The 13,178-nt window shown below is 45.0% G+C and overlaps 1 protein-coding gene across 1 annotated transcript in view, besides 2 other annotated features; it reads right to left on the bottom strand.

Annotated features, from left to right (window-relative positions):
* The window catches only part of BCL9 (BCL9 transcription coactivator), an 84,716-nt gene continuing 73,244 nt past the window's right edge, over nucleotides 1,707–13,178 (bottom strand). The window contains exons 7-10 of the mRNA NM_004326.4: nucleotides 12,021–12,120; nucleotides 6,866–9,107; nucleotides 5,392–5,652; nucleotides 1,707–4,081 (exon numbers count right to left, since the gene is read on the bottom strand). Of these exons, the coding sequence (NP_004317.2) occupies nucleotides 2,964–4,081; nucleotides 5,392–5,652; nucleotides 6,866–9,107; nucleotides 12,021–12,120 (3,721 nt within the window). The 3' untranslated portion in view covers nucleotides 1,707–2,963. The remainder of the gene's footprint in view (nucleotides 4,082–5,391; nucleotides 5,653–6,865; nucleotides 9,108–12,020; nucleotides 12,121–13,178) is intronic.
* Nucleotides 6,733–7,612: an enhancer, noted in NCBI's record as "H3K4me1 hESC enhancer chr1:147092117-147092996 (GRCh37/hg19 assembly coordinates)". NCBI's record gives its function as "activates a minimal SCP1, AML or CMV promoter by ChIP-STARR-seq in primed H9 embryonic stem cells {active_cell/tissue: H9 hESC(primed)}" and the evidence as "EXISTENCE:reporter gene assay evidence [ECO:0000049][PMID:30033119]".
* Nucleotides 7,613–8,492: an enhancer, noted in NCBI's record as "H3K4me1 hESC enhancer chr1:147091237-147092116 (GRCh37/hg19 assembly coordinates)". NCBI's record gives its function as "activates a minimal SCP1, AML or CMV promoter by ChIP-STARR-seq in naive H9 embryonic stem cells {active_cell/tissue: H9 hESC(naive)}" and the evidence as "EXISTENCE:reporter gene assay evidence [ECO:0000049][PMID:30033119]".

The raw sequence follows: 13,178 nt of genomic DNA, 5'->3' as shown, positions 1-13,178 counted from the left end.
GATTTTTAAAAAATCTTGCATCAGTTCTCCATGCACTAGCATCCAGTCTCTCTAAAGGTAATTTTATTTTATAACAATCTTAGTAAATGATAAATTGTTGTATTTAGACCCTAAATTTGGCTTGTCAGACATTATCGTGATGAAATGGCATGTGCTGATAAAGTGAATGAAGTTGTATGATGGGGTATTTTAAAAACTCAGGTGGGGAAGTTGATCTGCACTGCCCCAAGTTCTCCAGCAGGGGGCTGCGAGAGGAGTGCCACACATCCAGCTGCCCACAGCAGCCAGACCCACCGGTCTCTTGCTAGCCCTCTAAGTGAGTACCTGCTCTCCTATGTGGGTACCTTTTATGCCTTGACTCCCTGCCTGTGAGAGTAACAACAGGACCACACACCATTAGTGACTGCAACACTGTTGGGTACAGCAAGGAGGGGAGCAACCCAAGAAGCCAGACCAGTAGACAAATGCCAGGTGGGACCCTTCCTTCAGGTTCTCATCTTGTGCTGCCCATGCTTGGCTGTTAGTCTGTTCTCATCTATATACTTTAAAGCCAGAGAACCCAGAAACATGGCTAAGTTCGTGAAACAAAATCTTCATTTTACTATCCTAATTTCTCTACAACATGAAAGTTTCACTACCCAGCACCAACAGAATACATCAGATTGAATCAGAATTCTTAAACTTGTGAGCTCAAGTTTTCTCATCTGCAAATGAGATCATTACCACTCACTTCACAGGGCCCCTTAAAAATCAGCAAGATAAAGTGCAGGGAGGCGACTGGTAGAGTAGGTACTCAAATGTTCATCTCCACATTTTTTGTTGTCTGGGGCACTTGTGTTACTGAGAAGACAGGGCTGCTGAAAAGGAAGAGAAAATGGCTCTCCAAAACAATTGTCGGAGAGAAAAGCTCAGACTGTGAAACACCAGCAGAGCCCAATTTGTACAAGTTTGTTTGCAGATGACTCTGCACCTGCCGCTCCTCGCTTAGATTCTCTCACCTAAGAACAAACACGCACACAGACGCCCACTCACTGAGCTAAAAACACCTACAACTCAAAGAAATACACACACCAGAACAGAATTAACTGCACAGAAGCACAACAGCAAGTCCATTAGCACATACCTTGCAGGATACACACTGATCTGCTGAAGATGTGTGTGGTGAGAAGTGAACTGTGCACAAAGACTGAGCAGCGTTAGCAGAGGTGATGGGGTAAGGGGGAGGTGGGGAGCCAGAAAGGACCACAGAAACCCACGGACTGTGGAAACCCATAATTTGCAGGTATAGTAATAATATTCTACCTTAACAAGACCAAGGGACATCTCATAGCTTATTCAAATAACTAAACATACAACCTTTGGCCTTCTTAATTACTTCATACCACTAAACTGGCTCTCACAAACATTCCTAATAAAGACCATTAATTGCCCTAAAGGTAAAGTTCAGCAATGGGACCAGGGTTGCTCTTCTGCTTATAACTAGGATTTCATGACTGAGATAGGAACAGTACAGAATAAACCTACATGAGTAGTTATTCCTTAACAGCATGGAATATGCTTTGAGAAGGTACTTTTATGTGGTTTCCCTAACCATCACCTTACTGATCAACTCCAATACAAAGAGTCTACGCTTCTGGGTCACATGGCAACCGGTATGCCCAATACTAAACAATCAGGAATCCAAATGAACAAAAAAGGCAGTTCAATTTTGTAAGAAACAATATATTTTATTTTTCTGACACCACAGCTCTGGCGAGTGGTTTTGTACCAAATTTAATGGAGGTTACACAGAACGTCTTACGCATGGGAGGGGGAGGAAAGGGAAGGAACCACAAAATTTAAAACAAACAGAAACAAAATCCTGGATAGCTTTTAGCATCTGTTCCACTCCCACATTAATAAAATTCACTTGGGAATTCCTAATAAAAGGAGAACAGAAAACAAGGTGGGCAGGGAAGGGTATGATGGGAAAGAGAAAGACTTAGGGGGAAAAAAGACCAGAGAGCATCCCAAGGACAGACCTTTCCCTCTCAGAGCCAAGAGGACGCTCGGCATGGAAGGCGAGGCTTTGCTAGATTTATTTCCCCAAAATAACACTGTGTATTGCAGCTGCCAAAGGGAAAGAGAGAGGGAAGCAGAGGGTCACCAGCGGGGGGCACAAAGGAAGGAAACACTTAACTGAGGAGACAGAGCAAAATCGGAGAGAGAAAACAAGAGAAAAATGTGCCAGTGGGTTGGTATATTGGGAGACAAGACAGTGCTGAAGAGCACTTGAACTGAAAAACAAATGTCCTAAGAGTCATTATTTTTCAAAAGAAAAATCTCCCCCCTCCCCCCACCCCTCGCTGAACTTAGTTCCTTTTTTTGTGCTTTTCATTAATACTCTGCTCTGAGGTCGTAGTTTGGTTTTTCTATACACTGCAGTTGAAAGAAAATAGTCCAAAGGTCTGAAGATGGATTCTCCACCTAAAGTAAACAGCCCAGCATTCCTGTTCTCCTCTTGCCCCAAAGACTAAAGTCTCTGCTAAAATCCCTTTTACAATATAGTACAGTACACAGAAAAAAATAAAGCCCAAATCAAAAAAACAAAAACAGAAAAGAATCCTGGGAGAAGCCAGTCCAAAGGACGTAAACATACAGAGAACGGTGCAACACATGACCGATGGCAATTCTCAAAGCACAGCTACAGATTCCCAAAAGTAGGTGCCATCATTGATACCCAAGTCCACAAAAATAATTTTTAAAAAATAAATCTTAAAAAAAACACACCTGTTGATTAAATGAATAATTTGTTTTCAGGTAAATCCATACATTCTCGAGTTCCCCCCTCCCCCAAAGCAGCCCTCGGGTCTCTGTTCTCCTATTGCATGACCAATAGTAAGTACTCCTGGAACTCCCTCAAAGCAGCTCTCAGGACCTGGAATCTCATCTTGACAAGGATCGGCACATCCCATCTTAGCAGCTTAAAACATCATGTTTCCTGGGTTGCCAGGTCCTTGGCTAAATCCACCCATGCCCACGTCAGCAGCCATGCCCCGGGGCCTCATCTGTGGGGGGATCATGATGTTCTGTTGGGGTCCCATCATGCCCTGCATGGACATCATCATGCCTGGAGAGCCCACAGGCCCAGGGTGGGTGTAGAGCCCGGCAGGCCCCCGATCCTTGCCAGGAATCATGCCCACGGCAGCAGCTGGATTGCTCATCAGGGTGGGCTGGCCGGGCATTGTAGATTGTGCTGGTGACATCATCCGATGGTGAGGTCCCATCATGCCTTGTTGGAGAAAGGCTGGTGGTCTCATGGGGTTGTGGCCTGGCATGGATGGAGCTGTACCAAGAGGGATGTCCGGAGTTCCCACTGGCCCTGGACCTCCCATGCCAGGTAATGCTAGTCCCATTCTGGGGGCTTGTTCGCCCATCATCCCCTGCATGTGTGAAAACCCAGGTCCAGGACCCTGGGGCTGTTTACGGCCTGGAACTTCCCCTCGAGGGAAATATTGCAGCGTCTGGCTGGGCTTCTCAGATGGAATAATGCGGGATAGATCAAACTCAGGTATTCCGGTGGCTCCAGGTCGGATGACCTCCTGCAGATCTGGGTCTGTAAACACCGAAGGCATGCTGTTCCCCAGGACAGTGAAGGAGTCAGGACCCCCGGGGCCTCCAGGCTTGCAAAGTGCTGCATCTGCTGAACTTTGGGGCAGGTTGCTGGGGCGGCCAAGGGGGCCTTCTCCTGGGAAACCCATCCCTCCTGGGAAGCTGCCCTGCCCCCCACTGGGGCCATTGTGAGGGAATGGAACCTGCTGTGGGGGAGACTGTACTGGAGGGAAGCCCTGGGGGAAGCCCATCCGTCCTTGAGGTACCATCGGTGGCTCCTGGGACCCATGCCCCATGATAGGATTGTGTGACATCAAGCCAGGCCCCATTGGGACCCCATGAGGAGGTATGTTGGGTCCCACGGCATTTGGAGAGGGCATCTGATTGGAGTGAGAAAGTGGCTGGGTCATTCCCATTGGGCTGAGGGTTGGCATCGGAACCACGGGGTTTGGACCTGAAATTCGAGGATTCTGTGTATTAATGCCCATTCCTAGAAAAATAAAGATATCAAAGGAATCAACTTAACCAAAAATCAACTCAGAAAAACTATAATAAATTAACAAAAAAACTATTGTGCATCCAATGTGCATAGTATAATGCTGGGAAAACATACAACACACAATCCCTGCCATCAATAAGATCATAATACATCTGGGGACATACAAACCAAGAGCTCTACAGGACAATATATTATTGAGTCTTAAACTGTGTGTAGAAGATAGCAAGGGAGAAATTGTCATGTGTGAAAAGTTATAAATTAGCACACAAATGAGTTTCGCCTTCCTCATTGGAGATATTTAATACAGAAGAAAACAATTTGCCTGAATGACTCAAGTACGGTCCTTTTGGAGAAATCAGTACTACAATCCCAATGATCAGGAATCATAACAAAGAAACTAAACAGGTAATTTTTCAATTGGCATTTGGCATTATTTTATAAGTGCCTTATAGAGAAAGCATTTAAAACTCGAGATTCCACGAAATGTTCAAGAAATAACTTTTAATAGAAAAGGAAAGTAACATATTCTAATACAGTCCCTGGGACATTGAAGTATTTGGTGTCTCTGTTGGAATTACCACCGAGTGTGGCAGGGGGCTTATGCTGTTCCTGGTACATGTACTAACCCAGTTAATTAGAGTTACTGATAAATAAAGAGCATTTGTAACAATCAGAATAGAACTGGAACCAGAAACTCATGGCTGAAAAGTCATGGTCTCTTTGCTGATTGCTTTCACCATCCTGATCATTTTCTGTTAGTCAGGTGGCAGGAGTCGAGGTGAGGGGTGGGTATAGGAATGAAGGTGTACCGAATGTGTAGGGAAGGGAAGGATTTTATTATCTCCCTAGTCCTAAAAAAAAAAAGGCTTGTCTAGGAAACAGGGGCTTTCCACTGTCTGAAATCCTGTGGCTGCTTGTGGTTTGAGGCTGCTCTTCCAGAAAAAAAAACTTGAGGACTAAAGACATTCCAATCAGCCTGTTAGAAACTACTCTCTATATTGCTACATGAGGACCCAAAGAGAAAAACAAAAACAACAAACCCTCAAAACCATCCAGGTACACAGAAGCATCAGAACTATAAAGAAACCTGCTTTCTTACAAACAAATAAGGAATCAAGCTAATAAGAAATTATCTTCCTCTAGTCAAGACACTTTCATTCTACTGAAACTACCTTAGATGGAAGATTTTTTCTACTTGTTGAACTTCCACCTATTCAGGTGTATAGCCATTGAGAAAACGCTTCAAGAGGTTTCTCTTTGGTCTAGCACTCACTCCACAACCTGCCTTTCTGATTTCTTACCTGGCATATTATTCATTGATGGCAAGTTGGGAGAACGAGCTGGAGGGGAGTCGTCATCTGAGCTGGCCACAGTCTTGATAGCATCATGGTATAACGGGGTGGAACTGGGCATTGCAAACTTGGACATTCGAGACATCATAATAGAGAGTGGGTTCTGGGAAAGGGTTGGCTCTGGAGGCATGGTATAAGGTGTACTAGAGGGAAGACTTCCAGGGATATTCACAGAGGCAGGCTGGCTGGCTGTAGGAGGTGGGGGGCCACCTAAAAGGAAGCAAAATAAAACAAAACGGGCAGGGAATTAGATTCCTTTTGAAGGGTATTGGGCCCTATGATTATGAACTAGCAAGGCCAGGAATGAGACAGATGAACAGGACAGTGTTATTAGATCCCAGACACAAATCATCAATCTTCTAGTCAAGCTCTGTGTGAGTGCAGAGGGAGACTGTGGTGTGATATGGAGGTGACATGACCGATCAGCAGATGTGAAGACAAACACACCAGGAATGTGTTAGAAATATTAGTTCAAGCTTGGGGAAAATATGGTTTACAGACAACCATTTCACTGAATAGAATGTGAAATAAGTGGATCTCTTTCCCTTGCCAATCACAGTTTAGAATTCGACTCAGGTATTAGTATGCTATGAAGCCAGACTAGTGATATGATCCCAGGTACTAACGACATCACCCTACACGCATTCTTGATTAATTTCCACAACCAAGATGTTTGAACCAAGAAGGTCTGAGGGGGCTGTTCCACTGTACTGCTTCAGTGAACTGCTACCCTACAGAGAGGCACTTTAGGCTGGTAGGATAAATCTTCTATCTTGCTCTGATTCTAGTCTTTCTCAGGTGGAGACAGCACCAACCTAGTATTTACACCTTGGCACTACTTCCACTGACCACCTCTAGTCCCACTCACAAAACCATCATCATCAGCAAGAATCTCTCCCAGGAAGAAAATCCTCCTAAATTGTAGCTGATCTGTGAAAACAGTGGTCTATCAAGGAGAAGATTTTGGAACTGTTTCTGTGGTCAACAGGTATTTACAAGAACCACACAAGTCTTACAGCAGCTTCCCCTCTCTCTGCTTAGGATTATACCCAGAATCTCGATTCAAGGGCAGCCCCTTGCAGTGGGTCCAGTATTTAAAGAAGCCACATTCATCCACTGTTAAGACATTTTATTGCATTTGTTCATTGTGCGAATGTAAATTATTCTGTGAACCCAACACATATTCCCCATTTCCCCTCTTCCTTTTAACAGTCTCTCTGACATACGTATTTTTTGCTGAGATTGGACACTTCTGCATAACCCCATGGAAGCACTGATTATGCACCTTGCCACAAATATGGCCATTTCAACAAAGACTGCCTCCTCTGTCTGTGTACTCAAGACACCAGTTTTCTTAAAGTAACTATCAGGTCTAGCAGTCTCCAGCTACTAGGTGCAACTGTGAGGATGCAAGCATACTGACCTGACTCTACATTTCCCAGCATGGCTGGGGAGGCCATGGTGAGGGGTGCTTTATGGTTTGGAGGGATCCCAGGACTCTGAAGGGGAGGTTTTGGAGAAGAGGTCCATCCAGGTGACGGGGCAGGAAGTGATGGAGACTTGAGGTGGACAGGTGAAGCAGCAGCAGACCCCAAAACAGGGGGGGACTTAATGGAAGCAGCAGCAGCTGGGCCCGCCAGCATGCCTGCCAGCTGCGATGGAGTCTGGGGGGACTTGAGGTTCCCCGAGGGCGAGCCCAGCATTGGTGACTGGACTTGGTGCATCGTGGGAGACTTCAGAGGGTTAATGCCTGGGGAATGCACCTGGCTGCCTGCCACAGATATATCCAAGGGCTTCCGCCCCAGGCCGCGCTGAACTGGAGGAGCTGTGTTGAGGCTGGTGGGGTTACTGGAAGGGTTGAGAGGTAGTGGTGGCATATGACTGAGCCGGCTGTTAGTCCTCTGGTCGGGCCCAATTGGTTCTCTGAGATTCCGCAAGCCACTGTTGCTGCCTGGACCCTGAGACATGGGAAGGAATGGTCTGGGGCCCATGCCATACTCCTGCTGGGGGTGCTCACCAAATGGCAGTGGCACCATCTTCTGCTGAGCAGGCAGCATGTCTGAGCCACCTGGGCGTAATTTCAGCATCTCCTCAGGGCCCGCCCCAGCCTCTCTCATCTTCTGAGGTATCATCTGAGAGTTGGATCCCATGTTGACATTTAGATTGACATCTCCCTTCATCCCACTAGGAACCATCCCAAACTCAAGTTCCCGACCAGGGCCCATCTGTGGGGGAATTCCTTTTGGAAAGTCACCCCTAGAAGGACTCAGAGGGCCCTCAACTGGTATTCGAGGGAAAATGGGGTTATTCCCAGGCTCCATGTGGCGCTGGGAGCCTGGAATCATCCTGTTCATCTCCATGCTGGGCCTGATGCCTTCCATGGCCATCCCTGGGGGGAGACCCAGCTGTTTCTCTGCCAGCTGCTGCTGAAACATCTCTTCAGACAATCCTTGGGGGTTTGGGAAGCGTTCCCCTCGGCCAGGACCGCTGAAAATGCCCTGGCCAGGAGGAAAATTTCGACCATCTGGGATTTTTGGCACATCATCTGGCCAACTGACTCCAGAAAGACCTGGTCTAGATGCAGGGTTGGGGACATTCGGCCCTTCCATTTCAGAGTTTATCATGCCTGCAAATCCAGGGAGGCGCATCTGGCTCCCTGGCATGTTGGGGTGGGGAGCCATGCCCCTCGGGGGCAGAGAATGTGGCATGTTGATACCATCAGAAAATGGCTCTGTACCCCCAGGTGCCCAGCCTTCACTAGGGGTCATCTGGTATGGAGGGGGGGGTCCTCGGACCACTCCCCGAGGCCCGTGCTGATGGACCATCATGTCCTGGAGGGAACACTGCTGGACAACCACTTGTTCCTGCTTCCTCCTCTTCTCTTCATAAAACTCCTGCTGCAGTTTCAGCCACGCTATCTGCTCGGGAGTCATATGGTCAAGGTGGTCGGGTCCTATGGTCCCAGACTGGGAGTTCATAGAAGGTGGAACCATTTCATCTGGAGAAAAGGGTACATCTCTATGTCCTTGAGGGCCAAATGGAGCTCCCACGTCTGTCCGGGGCCCAGGTCCCTTACCTAGGCTTTGGGATTGGGCCATCATGGCCTGTATTGGCCCTTCTGGTTTTTTCTGAGGCCCATCTAATACCCCAGGATTCTGCTGCGGTCCCCCACTTTGTGCTCCTGTGAATTCTTTCTCATCAGGAAAAAGCATGCGCTGGATATCTCTGAGAGTTTGTAAGGAGCGCTCCCGGTGCTCCAGCTGCTCCTGAGATAGGCCATCGGGATTCTCTCCCAGTGTGGGGGGCTCGCCACTGGACACTGGTGGAGGCGGAGGGGCTTTGGGATCTGCTGAAGAGCTATTGCTCCCCTGGGAGACAGGGGTCACTGCCCTATTGTTGGGAGTTGAGTTGGGCCCAGTACCATCTGGGGGCAGTGGAGTGGAGCTGGCAGGACTTCCTACAGAAGGAATCAGTTTGTTTTCTACCCCAGGACTCTCCCGGTCCAGGGGACGTGGGGGTGCGGCAGGCTTGGGTGCTGGTGCCGGAATGGGTGGAGTTGGCTGCAGTCTGGTATTCTGGGAAGAATTCTGGTCCTGGTTGGCCGGAGCTGGGGGCTGTTGTGGGAGAGGTTTCGGATCATTCCGAAGGGCAGATATCTGTGTGTTCTGAAGACAAACAAATAGTTTAAAAATCATTAGTAAACTGAACAGAAGGGCAATTAAAAGAGCAAGATATGTTATAAAGGAATTGTCCCCAGGCACATAAATCTAACTGACACTGGCTGTAGAAATTGCTCACGTACAACCCTCTTTTGGGCATGGAGACATTTTGATTTTTTTTTTTTTAAACTTACTGTCAAATGGTATCCTCTTTCCCTTGCTGAAGATTAGGTTTCAATAACTTTAAAAGTATGCCAGGGGAGAGCCACTCTGCCAAAGTGAATACATTTCAGTATCTATTTTGAGGAACAGGTTTGATATCACATGTCTACTATGTGTTTCTGATTCAGAGAGAGATTAGTTTCTTGGTATGTGGGAGGCTGTACCTAACACCTTTTTCTTTTCCCTGAAAGTATAACTGGGTATGTAGACTTCTCATTGTCAATCAAAAGGCCTGATGTTGCCATCTTGAGAGAGAAAGCGTAAGTCACTTGCAGCTCTGTATTCTACCAGCCGAGGAAGCAGCTGCTCCATTTCAACGTCTCCTCTGGCAGGGTGACTACTGAGGCACTCCCCTCCTGGAGTTTCCAGGAGGCCTGACATCTCTGGTTTCCGTTTTTGGTTGGTGATCACTGATTCCACATTTGATAAGAATTTGTACATTAACTGTAGTGAGATAATCTGCAGGCAGGAAGCTTCTGTGGAGAAATCTGAGGCTATCTAGCTCATGGTGTCTCTTGAACTGTTCTTTCCAATAGGCAGTAGACTGCCCTTTTTTAATATGCTGGATGATTGCCTTATTATTGTTTATTAAGTACCACTGCTATACTAAGTCCAGGGTAGAAGCACACTCACCTACAATAGGTGACATGGACACCTTGAATGTTTGGAAGAGAGATGTGTATGTTCTGGGTCTAAACCAAGAGCACTGCTGAAATATAAGAGGGCACTGATGAACAGAAGGACTTGATCTACAAACCCTGTCTCAGAGACCTTTCACCAAAGGCCTTTCTCCAGACCCTTTTTTCCGTGTTCATTTGCTCCTACTTGTTCGCTTAATCCAGTCTGTATTTCCAAACCCTTCAGGCTCTTACCTCCTCACCTACTCTCTGGAATGTTTACCTGTGTGCAAATATGTAAACAAATAATTACGTGTATCTCTGCATATGAACAATTTGTGTTGTATACACATGAAAACATATCTTTGAGCACTTATATTCTGTGAATATATATATAAATGTTGGATTTTGAGGTATCCATGCACTTCTGCCTATAGGTAAAGAGTTGTGTGGGTAAGATCAGCTGAATCTTGTATGATTCTGTACAGTTAAAAGTATATTTCATATCCACACTCCTAACTGGAGTGTAGAGGTCACCTTGATTTTCCTTCTAGTGCCATTTTAAGTTTGGTTTTGTTGGTCAGGTTTTGTTTGTTGTGGGTGGATACTGATTTCATATAACGAAACCATGACGTCAGAAAACATTTAGATGTGGAACAATGGATTATTCCCAATTCCTTCCTTAACTCCTTTCCTGATTTTAGTACCAGAGAAGGTGTAGGTGTAGGTATTAAGGTGTAGGTATTAAGAACTGCCATTAAGTCAATAAAAGGTTGGTTTCAGTTACACTGTACTATATTCATTCCAGGACAATAAGCATTTTAAATATAACTGTATGCATCTTCTACCCTTGAGTAGTCAAGATGCATGGGGAATATGAAATTCCTTTTCTAAGTTTAGGAAGGCCTAAGCTCTGCTTATGTCTACAAAGATGGAGACTTTTCTGATACACAAAATAGGAAAGATGTCACCTATTTTATCTTGAATTGTCACTTTGATCATTTATTGTCAATTAACTTTTCCCATGTTTAAGACTCATCCCAGTATTAGATTTCATGCTCCCTGAAAGCAGGGACTGTGTCTTGAACTTCTTAGTATCCCCCATAGCATTTGGTGCAATGGCTTGACGATGCCAGATACAAGAAGTATCTTTTGGTTCAATTTGGTAAACTACATGCATTAAAACATCCACTGTATGCTTTTTTTTTTTGAGACAGAGTCTCACTCTTATCACCCAGGCTGGAGTGCAGTGCAGTGGCACAATCTCGGCTCACTGCAAGCTCCGCCTCCCAGGTTCAGGCCATTCTCCTGCCTCAGCCTCCCAAGTAGCTTGGACTACAGGCACCCGCCAGCATGCCCGGCTAATTTTTTGTATTTTTAGTAAAGACGGGGTTTCACTGGGTTAGCCAGGATGGTCTCAATCTCCTGACCTTGTGATCCGCCTGCCTCGGCCTCCCAAAGTGCTGGGATTACAGGCATGAGCCACCACGCCCGGCCACTGTATGCTTTTTCTAATGGAGTTTATAGCAGGTGCTTAAGATCCAGATAGAAAACAGACTAACATTTATTACAATTTTACAAATATCAAGCAATTAAAAACATTCAATGGTCTTATCACTTTGAAATAAATATGAATCACTCTGAAAGTCGATGAGGCTCTGATTATGATACTGTCATCATGTACTCTAGAAGTTTTAATTGTTGCTTTTTTTCTGTTCTTTCTTTGTTATTCAACTAGCTCAAGAGTGTTATTTTTAAAAAACCTGCTCTGTACACAGGGTCTGAATTTAGATTTTCCCAGAGACGATTACATGAAGGAAACCCAAAGATATCTGTATAGCTCCTCTTTTAGTTTGCATCTTCTTCCCCCTAGTAATTCATCAATCTACCAGCTTTCTCGTAGAAAAGGCTAGTATAGTATGATATGCCTAATGCCCCACAATGCCAGAATTAGGTTAAATGCCAAGAATGCAACTCATGCCATCAAGACTACCTTCCTATCAATTAAATTCACCACCTCCTTTCCTTTGCAGTCACTGTAGAATCATTAAACCATTACTCAGTTTCTGAAACAACATACCAGAGGCGCTGTGCTTCTCTCTGTCTTGTTGTTAGAAATGTTCTGGATGTGGAAAGAGACGATAGTTTCAACCTGGCCCTTCAAAACAGCTTCTGCAGCTCTGCAAAGATGGAAGAGACAGCACACACTAGAACTTGTTTCTATTTCACTAACTGTAATTCCAAAGCACTTTAACCACACAATAAACTTGTAAGGGAGAGGAAGGAATAGAAAGAACCACCAGAAATGTTGAAGAAGAAATCAAGACAAACATGTTTCATTATTTATATTTACCACTTATCATCAAACTTCTAAAATTAAAAGACAGCCATTAGCAAATCCCAAAAGAGGCATTAAAAGACAAAAACCAAGATTTTCTCCTGAAACTAATCCGCTGTGGTAGGTGTTTTATAGAGAATCCGAGTTCAAAATCCCAACCCAAGAAGGGGGAAGATGAGATCGTACAATACCTAGTGATAGTTTAAGGCTGTTAAGATTCACTTTTTATCTTAAGTGGAAAAAAAGTCAGAAAACCATATATGTAGGGTATAATCACAATTCTGATAAATAAAAATTGATGCATCCATCCACTAAAAATTTATATATAAAAATGTTTACAGTAGTTATCTCTGTGAATTCCAGAGATATTAATTTTTAGTTATACTTTCTAATTATTCTAGAATGGACATTTGTTACTTGTGTTGTTTAGAAAATAATAATAGGTAGGTTGCAGAAAAGTGTGTATTGTGCAATCAACTTCTTCTGTTTAAAAGAGGTATATATGGCCAGGCGCGGTGGCTCATGCCTGTAATCCCATCATTTTGGGAGGCTGAGGCAGGCAGATCACCTGAGGCCAGGAGTTCAAGACCAGCCTCGCCAACATGGTGAAACCCCATCTCTACTAAAAAATACAAAAAATTAGCTGGGTGTAGTGACGGGTTCCTGTAATCCCAGCTAATCAAGAGGCTGAGGCAGATGAATTGCTTGATCCCAGGAGGTGGAGGTTGCAGTGGGCCGAGATCTGCCACTGCACTCCAGCCTAGGCGACAGAGACAGACACCATCTCAAAAAAAAAAAAAGAAAAAGAGATATATATGTATATTTGTACAAGCACGAAAAATTTCTGAAAGGGAAGCAAAGGATGTATTATCAGTGGTTGCCTCTGGGGGAGTTTGGGTT

The sequence above is a fragment of the Homo sapiens genome, chromosome 1 (assembly GCF_000001405.40).
Source record: "Homo sapiens chromosome 1, GRCh38.p14 Primary Assembly".
NCBI classification, from domain to species: Eukaryota; Metazoa; Chordata; class Mammalia; order Primates; family Hominidae; genus Homo; species Homo sapiens.
Note: the sequence above shows the minus strand (reverse complement) of the source record. Positions and strands in the feature narration are given on the sequence as shown.